General features: G+C 34.2%; 1 protein-coding gene across 19 annotated transcripts in view; it reads right to left on the reverse strand.

Annotated features, from left to right (window-relative positions):
- The window catches only part of NRXN1 (neurexin 1), a 1113630-nt gene that overhangs the window by 317618 nt on the left and 771469 nt on the right, over window positions 1-24543 (reverse strand). For all 19 annotated transcript variants that reach the window (NM_001330096.2, NM_001330087.2, NM_001330083.2 and 16 more), the window contains one exon: window positions 669-850. In NM_001330096.2, coding sequence (NP_001317025.1) covers window positions 669-850 — 182 coding nt within the window. The remainder of the gene's footprint in view (window positions 1-668; window positions 851-24543) is intronic.

The raw sequence follows: 24543 nt of genomic DNA on the forward strand, positions 1-24543 counted from the left end.
TTCATGACTATTCTTTGCTATCTATTATATGCTGAGTAAATTACTGTGGGAGGCTTACAACTTTAGAGAAAAGAGAATGGGCCCAGGATGTAAGTGGTAATTATGAATTAAAATGTATTTTCCTGACACGTATCAAAATGAGTACAAAATGGCACAGAAACAATCTTTTTGCCATCTTGTTTCACATCCCCAAGTATCCTTAAAGTATACTTTCGTTCCTTTTATTTCATGTAGCTTCAGATAAGTACTTTCTCTAGTGAGCAAAGAAATAAAGACAGAATCCAGATCTTTGGATGTCACCAGTATTACAACCTCCTGCTTCCAGCCAGATGGTGTGGTATCTACTAGGCAATAACTTATTTTATTCATTTGGCAAGTCTGCCTAAAGACACTAAAATCACTCCAAAATTTTTTTAAAAATTATTTTGAACACAGAATTAAGAGGAATTCACACTCCAAAAAAAAAAAAAAAAAGTTTGCATTGTAAAGAACGCGATTAACTACAGCAATAGGTATATGGTCTTATTTCCTCTAGATTGTATTCATATTTCCTATAACAAAGTACTGGTTTCTGGGGGAAGGAAGCATCCAAGAAGCAAAATTATAAATTCTTTACAAAAAGTTAACAGTAAAAAGTAAAAGCTGAATCTTATGCAAAAAGTACTTACTATATGCAGTTCTAGGTAGTCACCCAAGCCTGAAGAACTGTCCACTCGCACCAATACGGCTTCTTTCTGAACAGTGCTAAAACCTATGGCCAGTCTGTCTGCTCGTGTACTGGGTCGGTCATTAGGAGGCCACTTATACGTGATTTGTCCACCACCTTTGCTAAAGATATATGTCGTCCCAGCTGGAAAACAAAAACCAAAACCAATTAGTCCAAATACATCAAGTCTGCACATTAGCAAGGCATGTTATATTGATATATCAGTAAAGTATCAACTCTACACACAAAACTATGGCAAAGTAAATCATAGATTTCAATCAAATGTGCTCAAGAAAGTGGACCAAGTTGTTTTAAAAGAAATGGAGAGGTAGCTCAGTTTTTAATACACTGATTCAATTTACCAGTAGGTGTTTCAGAACAAATAGTAGGTTATTGTGTTTTCCATTGAGTTGGACAAGAACGGAATGTAATGAGGCATTATCTCTTCCTGCCAGTTTTTAAGAAATAGTTTAGTAGAAAACATTGACTGGATGCTTCCAAAAAGCAACAGCAGCACACATCAACTTGGTATTGAAATAGGAGCTGCATGCAGATGTGACAGGGTCATACAGCACAGTGGAGAAAGTCGCAACAAATGTGCTAGGAATGTAACTTTTATGGAAAAAGGATCTACTTACATGTGACAGATAACTAATGGATGAATAGCCACAAGCCCCAGTAGCCATGTCAAGAAAATACAGATAATAGATGTCATCCCTAGAAGTCAGGTTTTGTTTAACAAGCAACATCTAGTAGCTGTCAAACTATTCAGAATCATAAAAAGACCCACATCCTCTGCCACCCCAAGGTGAATACAAGCCTTATAGCACTGAGAATAATGTCACGGACTCATTCTGTGAGTGTTCAAATTTTACCTTATGGTTGTCTGGTCAGTAAATTATCCAGCTTAAATGAAAAGAGTCTTTTTCAAACAAATTTATTCAGCATTTGATATGGTTTGGCTCTGTGTCCCCACTCAAATCTCATCTGAAATGGTAAACCCCATAAACCCCATATGTTGAGGGCAGGGCCTGGTGGAAGGTGATGGGATCATGGAGTGGCTTTGCCCATGCTGTTCTCATGATAGTGAGTTCTAACAAGATCTGATGGTTTTATAAGTGTTTGACATTTCCTCCTACACACACTTCTGTCTCTCCTGCTGCCTTGTGAAGAAGGTGCCTGCTTCCCCTTCTACCATGACTGTAAGTTTCCTGAGGCCTCCTCAGCCACACAGAACTGTGAGTCAATTAAACCTCTTTTCTTTATCAATTACCCAGTCTCAGGGAAGTTCTTTATAGCAGTGTGAAAATGGACTAATAGAGCATTTGGTGCACTAGTCTTACCTCAATGCATCATTCATTGGCCACCCATTTTGGTTCTATTATTTTGAGGTCCTGAATAGAACCAAAAAAGAAAGAAAAAAGATTGGATTTTCCCTCTGTCTTCTTCTGACTGCTTAAAATGGGACATTGTTGTTTTCCTGCCTTTGCAGCTTCTTGTTCTCATGCCTTCAAACCTGGACTAAAATCTACATCGTTGTTTCTCCAGTTGTCAGTCCCATAATCGATACCCCTAGCTTTTCTGGTTCTCTAACTTGCAGACAGCAGATCATATATGATTTGATCATATATACATGATTATACATAATAAGAGAAAATATGAAAACTTAGGCCACAAAACTTCTTGTATTTATAGAAAAATAGCTTGTACCAAGAGTAACATTTATGTGTAAAAGTTGTGTGTACAGCAGTATGTTTTGAAGAAAACTATACATTGAATTGCCATGATTACCAAGTTTACCAGTTAAATGGAGTTGACCTACTATCACATTTGTGTACATTTAATTAAACAGCTGACAATATTGATTTTGTGGCCATTTTTGGAAGCAACTCTTCTTTGTTTTCTGTTACAGACATTTCCACAGGCCTTTGAGAAATTCCAAAGACCTCTGCAATATGCCTATTGTACCTGATGCTTAAATAGGACTTGGTATATAGACCTCTTCCAAGAAACATGTTAGGAGAAAATTGAATGCAAAAGTGATAAACATGAATACTGTTAAAATGCAAAGCTATAGAGGCTGTACCCTTCTCTATTAATTTTGCAGATACCAATGCATGAAAACAGTTTATCTCTTTCAAGAGAGAAAAGGCAAGCCATATTTCAAAAGCACCAGTCAGTGCACAAAGAAAATTCAGAATATACAGAGTGTAGATCAGAAATCCCAGGGCTTTCCTGAGCCACTTATGTTCTACATCCTCAGAAGCTTGTTCATCATAATCTTTATAGGCAAACACTATTTGAGAAATATTTTTCTGCCTGGTAATTTTTGCAAATGATTAAGTATTAACTTTTCTAGTGAAGCCCATTGTTGATAAAAATAGGACAAGAACATAAAAAAGTGGAGATGGCTTTAAAAGGAGGATGTAGTGGTTATCTCTGAGTGCTGATACTTAATAATTAATTTTTTTCCTTTTTTAAATTGGCTTTGTTCTCTAATGACTATATACATTATGTGAAATAAGAAAAATATTCAAAACTAGAGATGCTATTTAATGATATAAAACAACACATATCTAAGAATTCAGATGGTTTAAGAATTATATAAGTGTGAGGTAAGCATTATAAAACAACATTGCATATTAATTTTTAACTTTAAACATCACTTTCACAATTAAAAAAAATCTTATCTACTTATTATGGAACATAGGGCAGACATTACTTCCATGCTATATCTGAGGAAATTTAGTCATAAAGATTAACGTGCTATCTAAAGTTGCAAACTTGGTTAATTGGCAGAGTTGGTATAAAACCCATATCCTGATACCTATTCCAGTATATATATATATATATATATATATATATATATATATATATATATATATATATTTATGACAGAAATATTTCTGTTATCATAACCAGGCAGTCAAGAAAAAGTTAATTGGATGTCAGTCTGAATTTATCAAGGCCAACTGTTATCATATTCTAATGTCTTATATCCATAAAGTGACATTTGCTCTTCATTATCATATACTTTCTTCTCACCTCACAATACTTTTAAAAAGAGAAAAATAACATCTAAATGTAAAATGACAGAACATTTAATATATGTAGATTAACATTTAGTTGGGGTACACTTCCCAAACCTATGGAACTATGAAAGTTTCTAGCACAATTATAGAACTTGTGGGTAATAATTTGAAGTTTTACACTTTCAGTAAGATAAGTGTCACAATACAAATACCATTACTCAAGATTTGATTTCTTCTCAGATTTTAACCTTTTTCAATGAATCTAAAACTTGATGACTAGAATGAGATTAGCTAATCTGTCTTGTTTAGAATGACTTTACAGTTTTTTAGGTTTCACCAAAACAAAGCAAAAAAATCGCAACTACTGTTTGTCAAACATTGCCATTATTTCTAGTTTCCTTTTTTCCCACCAGATATATCCTGAGAGCAGTCTTTCTTAGTTTTTCTTCTGTATGCACAGTAGTGCATTGTATTGTACTCATCAGCACAATTTTATAATAAGCGAGACAATTAGATATCCAGTCCTTCCTCAGCTCTCTTCTACATACTTCTATAAGCACTCTGGATTTTTTTTAAAAAATTAACTTTGCATCAAACTTTACAAAATCTCCTATATTCTTAAAGCCCTCTTTTCACTGAGCTAGAAAATTACTCTCATAATCAAATATAGTGGGTTAGATGGCTTAAAGTTTCAAAATCTACCTCCTTTAACACACATCTTTCTGAACCAAGGACATGATGTACTTACTGAAGCAGAATAGCTTAGAGATTAAGAATGTAAACTCTAGACTCAGAGAGATCTGGGTTCAAATTCCAACTGTGTCATTTACTAGCTATGTGACCTTGGTAGCCATTTATTCTGTATTGGGATTCCTATTTGAAAAAAGATGGGGATAGCAACACTATCTTATAGAGCTCTATCAGAATTACATGAGATATTACAAAGTAACATTTAGTCCATTTCCTAGTATGTGATAAATGCCTAATAAATTTTAGAGAGAATAGGTGTCATGTGTGAGGGCAGTTGTGTGTGCTGTAAAAATATAAAATAATGAACACTGTAACATTGTTTTATTTTAATATGAAAGCCTTCAGAAAAGTTGGACATATTTCAAAGTTATGTCCAAATCAAGTGACTTTCAAAAATGACATTCCTACCTCGTAATTTTTATTAATATTTTCAATATTTTGTAGCACAGATTAGGACTTTTATGTAAACTCATTATATCATTATTTATGTTCAGTAATAGTTGACAATGGAAGGAATATTAAATTGTATCACATGGGAGCTTTCATGAGAAAAAGAATATTAGCTCATCACCATAAAACATCTAGCATAGTAAGATTTATAGCATAATGCAAAAAAAAAAATCACTTGACCATTAAATAAAGACCAAACTTACCAAAAAACCCTGCCAGCTAGCTTTTTAAAAATTTTATCTTTACAGAAACATGTTTTATTTTACTATATAAGTGAGTTAAATATGCAGTGGCAGTACATCTTAATCACAGTTCCAATATAGAGAGGAACATAGAGGAATGTGTCACCTTTATTATTTATGCATGTTTCTATATGGCAAGCACTACCACATCAGTACCATGACTACTAATGGATTTACTGCAAATTAACCTTGACATCCATCAGATCGCTGAATGTATGAATGACTGAAATTTAAAGTGGTTTTCAGCAATCTCCACATTTAAGCTGTGCAGCAAGCCTCTATTACTCACTCTAAATTCATTAACAAAGCTGGCTCTATCAGACACAAATTTAGCAATGTCAACATACTTTACACTCCAATAAATGTTTGTAAAAAATATACATGGGCTCCCGTATCTCTTGTTTAAACTGCCTGTGATGTTATAATCAGGGAATATTTTTAGATCTTATTGAACATGCTATTTACATATAGGGCTCTCTCCCTTCTTGTTCTTTCTTGCCAACTGTCCCTTGCCTAAGTGTGCCCACTTCAGCCTCACGTCAATTCTGCAAAGGCTAACATATTCCCTTACATAGATTGAAACTTTCTGAAAAAGAAAACCAATCAGCATGTACAGGTCTGCTCAATTATTGGTTGCTCTGGATCCTTGCTACATGAACAATAATATAATTAACTTCGGAGTAGATTAGCTTCTAACTCATAACATAAGTATATGAATAAAAGGTTACTTTTTGAAAGCCTATAATTCTTCAAATGTCATCTTGTAGCCAACACGAAACATTCAGGCAATTATGTTTCTATTAATAAATGTAACAGGAATATAACACTTCCTTCAGTGAAAGTTTACAGTGAAAGCCAGGTACCCAGATGAATATTAAAAGTAAAGCATTTGTAAGTAAGGGGAACCTTTATTCTTTCTACAACCTTTTCCAGATGCTGTTGTTAATTTGAAATTTTCTGGAGAATTTCTACCTATATGGAGGAATTCTTTGGCTTAAGGTTCATAAAAAGCAAAAGCACAGAGAAGACCACATTGTATGCAAAAAGAGTTTTAGATCAGGGCAACATTTCTAAACTGATGAAACAGAATCTTAACAATCACTAAAACAATAACAAGTAAATACACTTTATTTTCCTTCTGAATTATTGTAAGTTCTTTGTAGAATCATAAGGAATTATTTCATGAAGCTGAGCACTATAGGTTCCTAATTACTAAAATTTCATATAGGCATATTAAAAATTCAGAAAAAGTGAACATCTTAGGAGAAGTTAATGGAATCAAGTAATGAGTTTCTACCTATAATATGTAACCACTTCTAGATTTAAAAATTAATTACAATAATTACTAATATTGAGAAGTAAGGCACAGCCCTCAATGTTACATATGCATGTAAGGGTGCAAAGACAAAGATGCCAGGAAAAGAAAAAGAAAATATGGACTATATATCATAAATTAAGACTTCTGGTGGGAGGGGCAGACAACAGAATTGGCAAATGTGTTATAACTAGCTAAAGAGATTGGAGAATTAGACAGATTTTTAATCACATCTTTGAGAAAGAGAATGCATATGCTCTTTATAAATGAAAGAAGGCAAGAAACATGACATGTCACAGAAATGGTTTAGGCACAGGTCCCATATTCTCAATCAGGTCGAAACAAAAAATGTCCAGAAGAATTTAGATAATTCCCAAATAATGAAAGCTTTATGGAAATAGTTAAGGATGATATTCAAGACAGCAACATAGGTCAACAGATACAAAGTTACGGTTAGATAGGAAGAATGAGTTCTGGTGTTCTGTTGCACAGTAGGGTGACTATGGTTAATATTATTATATTGTAAATTTCAAAATAGCTAGGAGAGAGGATCTGAATGATCTAACAACAAAGAAATGATAAATATATGAGATGATGAATATGCTAAACATACCGATTTGATTTTTACACAACATATATATGTATTAAAACATCACTATAAGTGTGTACAATTATAACATGTCAATAAAAACAAAACACAATAAATAAATTTGAAAAAAGAGAACAATGGGAAGTTTGTCATATATAGCAAATTGTATGTTCTGTCAAAACTCTAGGCTAAAGCATTTTTTAATTATTAATTTTTTATTAAATAAAATTAAGTTATTAAATTTTAAAAAATACGTTGTTGACTACTTATTAAGTCAAATGCAAACTGAGCAAGACAGGGAGACTCAAACTTGTGAGCACACTATTTTCTTGCATTGGAATTTCATGAAAGTGATACTGTCTAGGATCACTGTCCACACACTATTCCACCAAACACCAATCATAAATTTGGTTCAAGTTAATCCAAAAGATTCTTGAACTCTTGCAAATCAGACACTGTCATACCTCCAGTATCCAGGAGGACTCATTAGGTGTTAACAATTAAGGTTTTCCAAATTTTTAAGGGGATCAGAGGAGGGTGAACCAGCTAGACTCCACGGTAGACATTGGAAGTCTGAAAGCAGAAGAGTATTCCTCTTCAATAAGCCAGCCCATCTGAGATTAGGCTCTAGCCCAGCCAAGATACCATTTAAAAAAAAATTGTGTGTGTTTACTCAACAAGAAATTTTAATCAAAATAAAACAATTGAGAAAATGAAATAACTAAAAGTTACTGTGATTCCAATGAGGTCAAGAATCATTTCTCTCAAATATAATTTCAATAGTAATTATGCGCTTCAATAAAAAATGAATTTACCTCTACCTATTGGCCCAAAACTTTTCTCTAATAAAAATGTTTTTCTAATAAATGTTCTACATTTTCTATATTCTCTAATAAAATTGCTATATCTTAGAAAGAATTATATATTCATAAATACATTTTATCACATTTTGATGTTTATAAAAAGAGTATGGTACATGAAAATAAAGTATTCATTCTTCTAAAAACAAGTGTATACCACTCTAATAAGTGAAATAATTATTTAAAATGTAAATAGATCCATGGCTGACCTATCTTGTCAATATCCTAGACATTCATTCAGAAACACCACCAATAGCAGCAAAGACTGCACACTGGACAATCAAATATGCACCATTCATATAGAATGAGATGTTAATGATGTTCATTGGTGTCGTATAAAACTATGACTCTACATAATCAATGATCAATGATTGATAGAGATTGTGCTGATTTGAATAAGTTATTCTCTTTTTTTTCTGACATTATAAGGGCATTAACTAACATAGAAAACATTTCTAAGCCTTCCTATCTCTTGATTTGCTGATAAGTGCCAACTGTGTGAAAGGAGCTAAGAATATAAATTCAGAAACAGCCTTTTCTCTTCAGCAGATAGGATCTGTTCATTAAAGGTAAATATTAGGGCAAAATAGTTTGTGTGAGATGTCAGAAAAATGGTGGTGTTCTGTTGCACAGTAGGGTTACTATGGTTAATATTATTGTATTGTAAATTTCAAAATGGCTAGAAGAGAGGATTTGAATTTTCTAACCATAAAGAAATGACAAATGTATGAATATTTGTCAAATATTTGACAAATATATGTTATTCAACCATGTTATCATCTATTTTGGATTTTTAAACTGCTTTTTAAGAAGGTGATAATATTAAAAGCACTGATTAATGAAAACCTAAGATTATCAGAAAAAAATGATAAGAAAAATCTATGTGTGTATATGTATTTTCTTTTAGGTCAAAGTCATGTAAATAGTTGAGTAGTTTGAAATAATGTTCAACCCAATGAACACTACTTTTAAAAATGTATGCAATAAGTGGTCCACTTAGTGGTATCTTTGCAATATATTTTCTTTTACAATCTACTTATTATTTTCCTGGCAAATGTGTCATTTAGAAGTATCCCCTCCAGGAACAGTTGAGTTCAATAGTTTGAGCTGCCCAGAGAGACAAACTTGTTTTGAGATCAAATTCAAAGTCCTGGGAACTGCTTAAAAGGCTCTTGGTCCAGGTTACCTGGCTGAGTAGAAAAACAGGTAAGTAGTAGAACTTTTGCCAATCAGATCAGAAAAAATTCCATAAAGACAGCAAAGTGATCTAGAATTAAAAATAAAACAAAGCAAAGTAATCCCACAACCAATAATCCTAAGAACATCAAATGCTTATGTCTTCCCTTCTGAAACTAGGCTCCCTCCAGCAGTAGGTGAACTTTATTAAAAAGTCTCTGGCAAGTAACTCAGTAATCAATTTGTATTAAAGCTATAGGCAGCAGGGATAGGAAGAAAAAGAATCACATCATCAGGAACTTTAAGAAAAATCTATTTTGAAGAGCATAACCTAAGTGTGCATGTTCCCAGTAAACTCTTAAAATTATTAGCTGGTCGGTAGAAGTTGTAGTTGCCTAGCAATGTCCTTTAACTTACTTATTTCAAAGGTTAATTGTGAAAATGGCTTTCATTAGGATTCAAGAGTCAAGAATTTTCTTTACTATAATTATGGTCTAAAAAATGTCCAGTTTAAAAAAAAAAATGACATAAACATAGAACTTACTGCCGAAATACTCTTGGAGAAAAGTGAGTAAATTTTCCAATTTACAAATAACAAAACTGAGGCACAGAGAAACCAAGTGTCTTCTCAATGTCAAACAGATGGGTGCAGGCTTGTACTTAACTCTATTCTTAGTGATTTTTTTTTTCTATACAACAAAAAGCTAAGCTCAAATGACTAATTCTTATTTAGAAAAATAAATTATAATTCACAAATCAAGGTCTCATTTCAATCATTTTAGAGTTTTTCTAATGATGCTTCCCTAGTCTGATTTGGGGAAAGTTTCTATAATGACACTTAACAGAAATGATTCACTCACATTCTGACATTTTTAGAGTCTATCCTGAATCTTTAAAAGGTGTGAGGTATCTGCAATGCTTTATTGTAAACATCCTCTCTAAGCAGCCATCCAAGCCTTTGGCTTATTCTGAAGCTTCTAAATTGTGGACCAAAGCTACAGAAGACAAATTTTCCTTATTTTTACCACAGTCACTTTTACTCTATACCAGAAAGGCTTTATGACTTTTTGGCAGTGACACTTCTTTTTGTCCTTAGCAATGGAATTAAATCCTTAATACAAAAGAATAGGTATTTATTTTGAATTATTTGCATCGCATAGTTAAATAGAAGGGACCATGCAAACAATAAAATTTGTAGTAATTTTAGGCTAAAACCAGAACCTTAACTTTTGTTTATTTCCTAATGTTAGTTCTACTCATTTATCTTCTTCCTGCCTATCTGCTATACTTAAGTCATTCTTTACCTGACTAGGCCCTCGTCAAAACCATTTACTAATTATTTTGGACTGGAACAGAAGGGAATATTAGTTTTTGACTCAGAAATTATCTCAGACTAAGCTCTAACTGGATTTACCTAGGCATTCACAAATGCAATACACATTCTCCTCTCAAAGTCACTTTTACTTCTGCTGGTTTAGGCTTCTCTGCTGCACCTTGATTTCTTTTGTCATGCTTTCCACATTCATTCCAGCCAAGGTTAATTCTCGCCTTTCAACATCCACTAACTTATTTTTAATTTTTGAACTATTATAATATATGAGAATTGTCTTTTATTGAAATATCCATTTTAAAAAGTATGCATCCTGAAGAAAGGGATCTTGCTTTAATTCTAGGTATCCTTATAAAAAATTATGTGCTTTTATTCACTTACTAATTATTAATAATGACTAATACACTCCTCAAGCTAAGTCAGGACCACTGATTCAATGATGAATACCATAAGACTCCTGATTCTGAAACAAGCATAGGAAAGATTTATTTATGTGATCCATCCCATGCCTACATCCATCAGCATGATGGAGTATCTGCAGCTATATAAGAAATTGGAATGATTTCACCTAATACAACAATCTCAGATAAGGACACAGATTGCCTAAATTATTCTGATAAGAAAAAACATGGTCGACTTAGTTATACCTGGGTAAGAAATAAGTATTATGAAGAGACATGGGACTCCTCAACCTGGTAATGGTGATCACATGAAAAGGAGCACCAGATCTCACAGTTCACTTGAATAGCATAGCCAAAAATTCTGCATATTTTACAGGGAAAAGCTGGATATACCTTGCTAGTCCTCAGGCTTTAATGATTTATTAATACTCAGAGAAATCTGACAGATAGCACCTTAACCAGGTGATCAAAGCTAGCATCACCAGTAATGAGACATATCAAATTCAGGTTCTCCAAATATGGTACACTGAGGACACTGCAACATTCTGTGCTATTTTTGGCAAAAATTCACAGTCTCAGTTTTAGTTTTCCAAAAATGCATAGTCTCAATCTAATCATAAGAAAACATCTAACAAACCCAAATTGAAGGACATTCTAGAAAATAACTGGCAGCACTCATCAAGAGTCGAGGGCAGGAAACAGAGAAAGACTAAGGAACTGTCCTAGATTAGAGAAAACTAAGAAGATATGACAACTTGATGAAATGCAAGATCCTGGCTTTGATAGTGGACCACAGAAGAGGGCATTAGTGGGACAACTGGCAAGGTTTGATTAAGGTCTGACTCTTACTTAATAATACTACATTAATGTTAATTTCCTGGTTTTAATCATTGTACTCTGGATATATGAGATGTTAACATTTGTGGGAGCTAAGTGAAGACACAAGAAGGCTCTTTTAATTTTTTATAACTTTTTTGTAAATCTAAAATTTCAAAATAATTTTTAAAGATAAATATATTAGTCATGAAGAGCAATTTAGAATCTCTCTCTTTTTTATTGAGACAGAGTCTCATTCTGTCACATAGGCTGGAGTTCAGTGGCTCAAACATAGCTGATTTGCAGCCTCAAACACCTGGGCTCAAGCAATCCTCCCATCTCAGCCTCCTGAGTAGCTGGGGCTTCAGGCACATGGCCACCATACTTGGCGAATTTTTTAATATTTTCTTAGAGATAAGGTCTCACTATGTTTCCCAGGTTGGTTTCAAACTTCTGGCCTCAATAGATCTTTCTGCCTTGGCCTCTGAAGTGCTGGGATTCTGGGTGTGAGCTATAGTGTACAATTTAGAATCCTGAATAAGATTCTTGGCCATGGGAATTTATGCAAGAGAGGTAGCTTGAGAAACACCTACCTCTTGAAATGAAGTAGAGTTTGAGATTTTGTTTGGCTATAAAAACAGGAGAGCATTTAGAGGTGGGCAGAAGACATTTAACTTTTGTTCTACCTAATAAATTTGCTTAACGCAGAGCTCTTTGTAAATAAATCATTATTAAGTCTTTAAAATGAACATATTCTAAAAATGCAAGTTAAAATAGAAATTGCCTAAGTAGAGTAGTCAACTCTGGGATCAGTTCACCCAAAAAGACAGACAACTTATTCATTCATTTAATTCTTTTATCATAATGTCATTGTAAATATCATTGAAATTCTTATGAAATGTTTTCCAGTCTTAAAACCATGTAGATACATAGTTTTAAGTCAGAATACATTTTTCCTGTCTTGTAATTAGAACTTCTTCACATTAGTGTGAGCTAATTCCTTCCCTAAGTTTGGAATCTAAGAGGGAAACTAGTGTAAACAAATACTTGTATGTGTAGAAATTGGCATACGTTTTGGGCTGGGTATGGTGACTCACACCTGTAATCCCAGCACTTTGGGAGGCCAAGGCAGAAGGATTCCTTGAGGCCAGGAGTTTGAGACTAGCCTGGGCAACATAGCAAGATCCTGTCTTTACAAACTTTTTTTTTTTTTTTTTTAATTAGCTGGGTGTGGTGGCACACATCTGTAGTCCTAGCTACTTGGGAGGCTGAAGTTGGAGGATCACTTGAGCCCAGGAGTTTAAGGCTGCAGTGAGTTGTGATCACATCACTGCATTCCACCCTGGACAACAAAGTGAGACCCTTTCTTAAAAAAAAAAAAAGAATGAAATATTGTGGTTATGATGAAAAAGATGATTCAAAAGGCAGGGGATGGTGATAATTATAGAGGAAGGACTCATATCTCTTCTAATAAAACAAGACAAAAAAATCCTATGAGAGATCACTTTTAGATTTCTTGAAAGTTTAAAAACCAGATGGCTTAGAGAGGTGGCAGGGAAAAACTCTAACTCAAATTAATGAGTGGGGCATTTTGACACAAACAAACAAATCAACAAAAAACAATGCGGAGACAACAGCAGAAATATATTGCTGGAGACAGAATACAAAGGCAATAAAATAGTATAATTTAAGAATAAAAACATCTGTATACTCAATAAATACTAATTAAGCATTTACTATGTATAAAGCACCATGCTAGATCCTGATGATGATAAAAAGGTGTGACATAGCTCTGAAATCCAGCTTTTTCTCAACTATCATGACCCATCCAAACACATGTCATTTCTTTCCTTTCTTTTTTTTTTTTTGAGATGGCGTCGCACTCTGTTGTCAAGGCTGGAGTGCAATGGTGTGATCTCAGCTCACTGCAAACTCTGCCTCCCGGGTTCAAGCTATTCTCCTGCCTCAGCCTCCCAAGTAGCTGGGATCATAGATACGCGCCACTATGGCTGTCAAATTTTTATATTTTTAGTAGAGATGGGGTTTCACCATGTTGGCCAGGCTTGTCTCAAACTCCTGACCTCAGGTGATCCGCCCGTCTTGGCCACCCAAAGTGTTGGGATTACAGGCGTGAGCCACCGTGCCTGGCCCAGATTTCATTTTTGAATTTCTCTTTCATATTTCCATTCTTAATACCATCCGCATCAAGTTAAAAATAAATAAATAACTTTTCTAATAAATACTTTACTGACTGACTTGCTTTACTGACCTGCTACCTTCTTACCTCTTAATTTAAATCTCTTTTATAAATTAACATCAGTTTATTTTTTGAAATAGTATTGCTAATTGCTTCTCTATTCAAAGACCTTCAATGATTAAGTGACTGTCTCCCAAATTAAGAATTTATGGTAACTTGGACTACCTTATGTACAAACCAACCCTGTACTTCAAGCAAACTGGAGAATTTGCTTGTCTCCCAAATACTCCCAAATTATTTTCATAGAAGATAAAATTTAATATGGCTCTGAAAAGATAAGAGCAAATTTTATTGGCAGGATTTTGATGAGGAAAGGCAAAAAGGCACAAAATTTGGTTTTCAGGAGTAGGTTGTAGATCCACTTATATAAATGGAAAGTCACTTTTTAATATTTTTTTTTTTTAGCGGAAGCTGATGCATTTTTAAATACCACTATGTCTTATCTCTTTGTCTCTTGAATTAAATCTCCAGATAAATACAGAGCACAAATCACATAGTAGAAATTAGGACTATTCAAGGTCAGTGTTAAAAAGAGATTAGATAAGTTCTAGTATCTTAGTTTATTAAAAATTCTATGAAATGCAAATTTCCTTTAACAAGGAGTCACATAAATTCACAAAAGTAGAAAAATGTAATATTAATGTCATAAGAAAGACTGCACTTAGTAAGTGTCTTGGTGATATTTTGCTATTTATCATAAATTGTGTCATTCTATCTTTATGAGAAATAAAATCATTTCTCATTTTTTCAAAATTTAAATTTAAGTACCGGGATACATGTGCAGTACGTGCAGGTTTATTACATAGGTACATGTGTGCCATTTACCTATGTAATAGATATTGTATTACATATGTAATTGTATATTTATTACACATTGCATATGTAATAAATTTATTACATATGGCATATGTAATAAATTTATTACACATTGCATATGTAATAAATTTATTACACATTGCATATGTGTAATATTACATATTGTATATGTAATAAATTTATTACATGTTGTATATGTATTACATATGTAATTGTATATTGTATTACATATGTAATACAATATGTAATAGATGCATCTATTAGCCCATCACCTAGGTATTGAGCCCCACATGTGTTAGCATTCATCCTGATGCTCTCTCTCCCCCTGGCTCCCTGACAGGCACCACTGTGGTGAGCTCCCCTTCCTGTGTCCATGTGTTCTCATTGTTCAGCTCCCACTTATAACTGAGAACGTGCACTGTTTGGTTTTCTGTTCCTGCATTAGTTTGCTGAGGATAATGGCTTCCAGCTCCATCCATGTCTCTGCAGAAGACACGATCTCAGTCCTTTTTATGGCTACATAGTATTCCATAGTGTAATGTATCACATTTTCTTTATCCGGTCTATCATTGATGGGCATTTGGAGTGGTTCCATGTCTTTGCTGTTGTGAATAGTGCTGCAATTAACGTTAAGTGTACGTGTATCTTTATAATAGAATGATTTATTGTTCTTTGGGTATATACCCAGTAGTAGGATTGCTGGGTCAAATGGTATTTCTGGTTCTAGGTCTTTGAGGAATTGGCACACTGTCTTCCACACTGGTTGAACTAATTTACATTCCCACCAACAGTGTAAAAGCATTCCTCTTTCTCCAGAGCCTGGCCAGCATCTGCTGTTTCTTGACTCTTTAATAATCACCATTCTGACTGCTGTGCGATAGTATACGATTGTGGTTTTGGTTCACATTTCTCTAATGATCAGTGATGTTGAACGTTTTTTCATATGATTGTTGGCAGCATAAATGTTTTCTTTTGACAAATGTCTGTTAATGCCCTTTGCCCAGTTTTTAATGTTTTTTTGTTTGTTTGTTTTTGTAAATTTGCCCAGGTTCCTTGTAGATTCTGGATATTAGACCTTTGTCAGATGGATAGATTGCAAAAGTTTTCTCCTATTCTGCAGGTTGTCTGTTCACTCTGATGATAGTTTCTTTTGCTGTGCAGAAGCTCTTTAGTTTAATTAGATCCCATTTGTCAATGTTTGCTATTGTTGCCATTTCTTTTTATGTTTTTGTCATGAAATCTTTACCTATGCCTATGTCCTGAATGGTATTGCTTAGATTTTCTTCTAGGGTTTTTACAGTTTTGGGTTTTACATTTAAGTCTTTTTTTTTTTTAACTTTTTTAAAATTTTATATTTTAAATACATTTTGTCCTTTTTTTTTTTTCTTTTTTCTTTTCTTTTTTTTTTTTTTTTTTTGAGACAGAGTATCCCTCTATCACCCAGGCTGGAATGCAGTGCGTGATCTTGGCTCACTGCAACCTCTGTCTCTTGGGTTCAAGTGATTCTCCTGCCTCAGCCTCCCAAGAAACTGGGAATACAGGCATGTGCCACCACACTCAGCTAATTTTTGTACTTTTAGTAGAGACAGGGTTTTGCCATGTTAGCCAGGCTGGTCTCAAACTCCTGACCTCAGGTGATCCACCCACCTCTGCCTCCCAAAGTGCTGAGATTACAGGTGTGAGCCACTGCGTCCAGCACATTTATATCTTTAATCCATCTTGAGTTAATTTTTGTATAAGGTGTAAGTACGGGGTCCAGTTTCCATTTTCTGTATATGGCTAGCCAGTTTTCCCAACACCATTTATTAATTAGGGAATCCTTTCCCCATTGCATCTTTTTGTCAGGTTTGTCGAAGATCAGGTGGTTGTAGATGTGCAGTCTTATTTCTGAGATCTCTAAACTGTTCCATTAGTCTATGTGTCTGTGTGTGCCATGCTGTTTGGTTACTGTAGCCTTGTAGTATAGTTTAAAGTCAGGTAACGTGATGCCTCCAGGTTTATTCTCTTCATTTAGGATTGTCTTAGCTATACAGATTCTTTTTTGGTTCCATATGAATTTTAAAATGGTTTTTTCTAATTCTGTAAAGAATGTCAATGGTAGTTTAATGGGAATAGTATTTAAACTATAAATTGCTTTGGGCAGTATGGCCATTTTCATGATATTGATTCTTCCTATCCATGAGCATGGAATGCTTTTTCATTTGTTTGTGTCCTTTCTTGTTTTCTTGAGCAATGGTTTGTAGTTCCCCTTGAAGAGGTCCTTCACTTCCCTCTTTAGCTGTATTCCTAGGTATTTTATTGTTTTTGTAGTAATTGTGAATGGGAGTTCATTCACGATTTGACTCTCTCCTTGTCTATTGGTGGTGTATAGGAATGTTTCTGATTTCTGCACATTGATTTTGTATCTTGAGACTTTGCTGAAGTTGTTTATCAGCTTAAGAAGATTTTGGGCTGAGACATGGGGGTTTTCTAAATATAGGATCATGTCGTCTGCAAACAGAGACAGTTTAACTTCCTTTCTTCCTATTTGAATACCCCTTATTTCTTTCTCTTGCTCGTTTGCACTGACCAGAAATTCCAATACAATGTTGATTGGAAGTTGTGAGAGAGGGCATCTTTGTCTTGTGTCAGTTTTCAAGAAGAATTCTTCCAGCTTTTTCCCATTCTGTATAAGATTTGCTGTGCATTTATCATAAATGGCTCTTATGATTTTGAGATATGTTACATTAACACCTAGTTTATTGAGAGTTTTTAACGTAAAGGGATGCTGAATTTTATCAAAAGCTTTTTCTGCGTCTATTGAGATAATCACATAGTTTTTGTCTTTAGTTCTTTTTATGTGATGAATTACATTTATTGATTTGTGTATGTTGATTTCACCTTGCATCCCAGGGATAAAGCCGACTTGATCCTGGTGGATAAGCTTTTTGATGTGCTGCTGCCTTTGGTTTGCCAGTATTTTATTGAGGATTTTTGCATCAGTGTTCATCCAGGATATTGACCTGAAGTTTTCTTTTTTTTTGTTGTATCTCTGGTAGGTTTTGATGTCAGGATAATGCTGGCCCCATAAAATGAGTTAGGGAGAAGTCCCTCCTTTTCAATTGTTTGGAATCATTTCAGAAGAAATGGTACCAGCTCCCCTCTGTATCTCTAGGAGAATTCAGCTGTAATTCCATCTGGTCCTGGGCTTCTTTTGGTTGGTAGGCTATTTATTACTGCCTTACTTTCAGAACCTGTTTTTGGTCTATTTGGGAATTCAACTTCTTCCTGGTTTAGTCTTGGGAGGGTGTATGTGTCCAGGAATTTATCCATATTCTCTAGATTTTCTAGTTTGTTTGCATAGAGGTGTTTATAGTATACTCTGATGGTTGGTTGTATTTCTGTGGGGTCAGTGATGATATCCCCTTTATCATTTTTTATTGTGTCAATTTGATTATTTTCTCTTTTTTTTTATTAGTCTAGCTATCAGTCTATCTGTCTTATTATTTTTTTTCAAAAGACCAGCTCCTGGATTCATTGATTTTTTGAAGAGTTTTTTTGTGTCTTTAGCTCCTTCAGTTCTGCTTTGATCTTGGTTATTTCTTGTCTTCTGCTACCTTTTGGGTTTGTTGGCTCTTGGTTCTTTAGTTCTTCTAGTTGTGATGTTAGGGTGTCAATTTGAGCTCTTCCTAGCATTTTTATATGAGTATTTAGTGCTCTAAATTTCCCTCTTAACAATGCTTTAGCTGCATCCCAAAGATTCTGGTACATTGTCTCTTTGTTCATTTCTCAATTTTTTAAGTGGTGGTTTTATGCTTAGTAGAAACAGTAACAGCAAAAGAAATAAAAAAATATAACTTTGGTTTGTTTGTTTACTCATTCCTTATCTCAAGCCTACTCCAACAGCCTATGAAGATGGCAGTAAGAGTAAAGTTCAGCCATTTCTGTGATTTATCTATCCACATTTATTTTTTTTGTAGACACTGTCATGCTCTGCTGCTCTGTCACCCATGCTTGAAAGCAGTGGTGTTATCGTGGTTCACTGCAGGCTCGACCTCCTGAACTCAAGAGATCCTCCCACCTCAGCCTCCCAGATAGCTGGGTCTACAGGCGCACACTACCACACTTGGCTAATTTTTGTATTTTTTTGTTGAGATGTGGTTTTGCCATGTTACCTAGGCTAGTCTTGAATTCCTGGGCTCAAGCGATCCACCCACCTTGGCCTACGAAAGTGCTGGTATTACAGGTATAAGTCACCATTCCTGGCTTATCCACATATGTTTATAATAACGGTTATAAAAAACAAACAAACAAAAAAAACTGGAAAGTTAGGTCACTTACATTGACAAGAAATTGTGGGTATCTGTAAGATTTATAACTCAACGATATAAGATTTTTTAACCCATGAAGTTCTTTGGCCAATTAAATTTAACAAAGGAAATGGATTTTCAAGTGAAAAAGAAAAGAAAGAGGTTCTCTATGGAGAATTTTACATTTTACCACCCATGTGAAGATTATAACTATGTATGAGAGTCATTTTTGAAGTTGAAATAATTGAAACACAAGAGCACGGATTAAAGTACCAAATCAGACATGGGGCAGGTAAGTGTCAAATCTTTTTTCTTTTGTATTTGGTTCAAAAAATTCTATCTTTCTAGACTAAAATTACAAGGTGGTTCCAATTTGCACATCAGATCCTTGAACACTCAGGTCCCCAATCTCAAAATAACCTCACATTTGAAACATACGTCCTTAAGCTCTGAAGTGAAAATGGTGGAGAAAAACCTATAAAACAGAAAGGATAGAACACTCAGAGGTGAAGCAGGCTTCCAACTTAAAAATTCCCAGTTCTAGGGTCATTTTAAAAATTTTAATTCATTTTAAATGGGTTATTGTATTCAAATAAAGTTTGCATGCCATCTGTTTTCAAAGTCATTTAAATTAAGTTTTATGACTCATGAGGAAGAGAGGCCATTTTTAACACATTATAGTCTGCTTATTACTATCATTAACTAATTAAAATTAATTATTAAGAGTGATTCCTTTTGCTCTCAAATCTTCTAGATCATTTATCAAAGAATGACATGACTTTCTCTTCCTTCCTTGGAATACTGAAGTCACAGTCATATGACTTTTGGGTAGATGCTATTGAAATGATGATTTTAGTCAGATGTTTAACAGTAACGCTGTCTAAAAGCTACATTTAACCAAGAGAGCAGTATTTTTGAAACAGCAGGCAGTATAAAACTGCTTTGTGAATATTAACATATTCTAGCAAATTAGTTTGCACTCATTATCATAAGCAATTGCTTACTGTTTAGATGCAGCTTGTATTAAATTGGCAAGCAATTTGCAAGAATTAAAACATAACATGGAGAGCTTTCTGAAAACTCAGCAATATCCTGGGAGAAATGATGCTACTAGGTTCACAGACCATGTACCAAACGTTTTTACCCATTAAACATATTTAGCATTAGAACAATAGTTGGTTGGCTACATAGGTTTTTAATGTAAGATCATTTTCTAACCGCTGTTTGGACACCATCAACAGAATTTTATATATCAGACATTTAAAGACTTTGTTTTAAAAAGCCTGAGGAGAAAGTAGGAAGGCTTTGTTTTCTAAAAATGAACTAGCTATCAATTTGACTAAATTTTGATACTTCAATAACCTATTGCATTGTCTTGAGTTACTTTATGCTACCCAATTTGTCCCTTTCACAAAGTTTCTGTTGTCTTGATCATTCTTTCCATTTATTCCTGAGTTGGATTCTGCTGATGTTTACCCCTATCCACTTTACTTTCTTTAATAACAGAACTTTTGAGTGTCAGCTGAGCAGATAGATAACTGCGTAGAGCCTACATTTCCCATTCTCTTTTACAGCTTGAAGGGTCTATTGACTAACTTCTGGCCAATGAGAGATGAGCAAAAATGATGTGTGTTTATTCTAGTTCAGATCCTGAAATGTGTCTGCATTCTCCTGCCCATTTCCCTCTTTCTTGCCTAGTGATGACAAAATTGAATCAGCTGCTTCAGACTTCGAGATGGAAGCCAAAGGTTGAGAACTGTACAATCCTATCCTAGGACGACTGAAATGTGACTATTATGTGAGAAAAAAGAATCTTATACTGTGTTGAGAGATGAGTATTTCTGGGTCTCATATTGACAGCAAAGGGTGTTTATCCAGGCTTTGAAAAAAATGACCTAACATTTCCATGTATTTTTTTAACCTTATGAGGCAAGTAAATTTGATAGAGAAGCTATTATTATCTCCATTTTATGGATTTAAAAGAGATTAATATTCAAAGAGCTAAAATTATTTGTCCATGGTCACAAAGTAATGTAAAACTTTTTCTGTCAAAACCTTCCACAGGAGGCTACCGATAATCTATTACCTTTTTAATAGTAAACTGAGGTTACCTACCCTGAATAATTCTATGGGAGGTCACATGTATTTATGGATTTCCCCATTCTGCAATTCTTTGCTCCTTAAGAAAACAAAATTTGCAAAACACAGTAAAGGATATTGCTTGTAATATGAAACAAAGTTAAAATAACTGACCCACACAAGCCCCTCAGCTTGAATAGACAGCATTTACTTTAGAAAACTTTTAAATACTTTCTCCACCTTTTGAGATTTAAATCTTCTCCCAGCTTTTTGCCAGATTTACGGCTTGAAAATGTCTTTCTCAAGGGCCTAGGAGTCATCTATTTGAAATGTAATCATCAAGGAAGACAGTGCTCTGTCTACCAGTATCTGAAAGGGTAAGAGCCTAACCTCTGGAAGTGCCAACGAGTAATTTTTTCTGTACTATACATATAATAAAGGACTAATTAATGGGAAGTTGGATAATAAAGAAAAGTGTAATGTATTAAAATCTGTACATCAGCAAAGAAAGATAATTTAAAGAGTATCGTTAAAGTGCTACGGAGTACTGAGAAAAGAGACTATCCAAAAACAAATCTAGTAGCTAGTTTTATGGTTTTTCAAATGATAAAATTAAAATATAAAACAAAAAATTTAAATTTTTTATTGATAAAGTATCTGCACAATTTTTTTTTTGGTTTCCCAGTGCATATAAAGGTTGTTTATACTATAATGTAGTCTATTTAAGTATGCAACAGCATTATGTCTGAAACAAACAATGTATATAACTTAATTAAAAAATACTTTATTGCTAAATCATCTGAGCCTTTAGCAAGCTGTAATATTTTTGATGGTGGAGGATCTTGCTTCATTGTTGATGGGTGCTTACTGATTAGGGTGGTGGCTGCTGAAGGTTGAGGTGGCTGTGGCAATTTCTTAAAACAAGACAACAGTGCAGTTTGCTGCATCAAATGACTCTACACAAAAGTTTTCTCCATAGCATACAATGCTGTTTGATAGCATTTTAACCACAATAGACTTCTTTCAAAATTTGAGTCAATCCTCTCAAACCCTGCTGCTGCTTTTTCAACTAAGTTTATGTAATATTCTACATCCATTGTTGTCATTTCAACAATGTTCACAGCATCTTCATCAGGAGTACATTTCATCTCATGAAACCACATTTTTCATTCATCCATAAGAAGCAACTTCTCATTTGTTCAAGTTTTATCATGAGATTGCAGCAATTCAGTCACATGTCCAGGCTTCACTCCTAGTTTTAGTTCTCTTGCTATTTCTACCACATCTGTAGTTACCTCCTCCACTGAAGTCTTGAGCCTGTCAAAGTCATCTATGAAGGTTGAAATCAATTTCTTCCAAATTCCTATTAGCACTGATATTTTTACCGTCTTCCCTGAGTCACAGATGTTCTTAATGGCATCTAGAATGGTAAATCCTTTCCAGAAGGTTTTCAATGTACTTTGTCTAGATACATCATAGGAATCACTATCTATGGCAGTTATAACTTTATAAAATGTATTTCTTAAATAAGGCTTGAAAGTTGAAATTACTCCTTCCTTGGGTTATAAAATAGAAGTGTTATCAAGGATAAAATTATATTAATCCCCATGTATATCTCCATCATTGGGTGACAGGTGCATTGTCAATGAGCAGTAATAATTTGAAAAGAATCTCTATTTCTAAGCAGTAGGTCTCAATATTGGGCTCAAAGTGTTCAGTAAATCATGCTGTAAACAGCATGTCATTCACTCTTTGCTGTTTCATTTATAGAGCACAGGCAAAGCACATTTAGCATAATTATTAAGGACCCTAGGATTTTTAGAATGGTTAATAAGCATTGGCTTCAACTTAAATTCACCAGCTGCATTAGCCCCTAAAAGAGAGTCAGCCTGTCTTTTGCACCTCTGAAAACAGGCATTGACTTTTCTCCTTTTCAGCTGTGAAAGAAGAAGATACCTACATGGCATCTTCTTCAAAAACTATATAAAGCTGTTTTGTCTACACTGAAAATCTATTGAGTATAGTCAACTTTATCAAATTTTAGCTAAATTTTTTTTTATAACTTGCTGCAGCTTCTACATCAGGACTGTTGCTTCAACTGACCTGGAAGGGGAGTAGAAGATGTGCCATTCACTCAGATAGGAAACATCAGAGAAGAAACATGATGCTTAAGTAATATAAGGGGTTTGTTATGTTAGAATTTAGCTACCTTCCTCCAGGTAAGCATACCACATCATCTCTACATTCCTACTTAGCATACTGAAGTGTACATGGAAGACTTTTTTTTAGTATCCTGCTAATTAATCAAGTAAATAATTAAGAAGACATCTTCAAATGAAAACTCTGCCCTCTTTTGTAGATTTTTGCCAAACTCAAAGTTATAAACACAATTAACTCCTCATCTCTTTTAAAATATTCTCCAAATGTAATATTTAGCTTTCAATAATACCTTTCCATGAAACACACATGAATTGGCTTTATCTGAATATTTGCAGTGTTCCCCTTTTTTCCAAAAATGTTAAGAAATCATTTTATGAAACAGGTTTCACTATACTATATTGTCCCAGGATGTCATTTGCATGTTTACTATTTGGTTTTCTAAATACATTTATCGGTACAAGTTATTGTACTTAGTTGATCTGCTTCCTCTACTCATCAAGGTGGTTTATCATTTGTGGTGCATAGGTGAGCAATAGGATCTAGTGTAACGCGGGCTTAGGTTCAAACCCCTGCATGTACAGATGAAATTGGGTTATCTGCACTTCTTGTACCTTTCAATAGTGGGAGGAGAGAAGGAAATCCATCACTACTGGAAAATATGCTCTGTACTCTATCAACTCTGTTGACCCTCAGCATAAAATATTTTAAAGCATTTCCCTAACAAACAACTCTAGTTAGACAATCTGTATCATAACCACTACTTTTATCTATGAGACCCCTCTGTCTCTTAGAACATAGTGGTCATGGGTACTGGTAGCCCATATGATGCCTTTAGGAAAATAGAAAAAAAGCAAATCTCCAAAACCCTCTACTTCTGCCTATTGAAAATTTTCATGATTTTTGTCAGAACAAGACATTTGCTTGATATTTCCTAGAAAATTGTCATATTAAATATGCAACTCCATTGTGAAAACAGTATAAATGGTGCCACCTTAACAAGTGTACAACTTGCACAAACATCCATGGCATCCTTTTAGTAAGATGTAGGAAATGATTAGGTTTTGGGTTAAGACGGAGACTCAACACATTTGGACCCTGTTGTTCTATTGGAATACAACCACACTCCTCAGAGGGAGAAAATGCAAGAGACACACAAAAGAACCATAATTCCTATTCAATCACTTTTTTTAATGCAAAGCAAACACCGATGACAAAAGAAGTTCAAGCTTTTTTTTTTTCCGTTTTTTTTTTTTTTTTTTTTGAAAGAAGCCGTCT

Source organism: Homo sapiens, chromosome 2, assembly GCF_000001405.40.
Source record: "Homo sapiens chromosome 2, GRCh38.p14 Primary Assembly".
Taxonomy (NCBI): domain Eukaryota; kingdom Metazoa; phylum Chordata; class Mammalia; order Primates; family Hominidae; genus Homo; species Homo sapiens.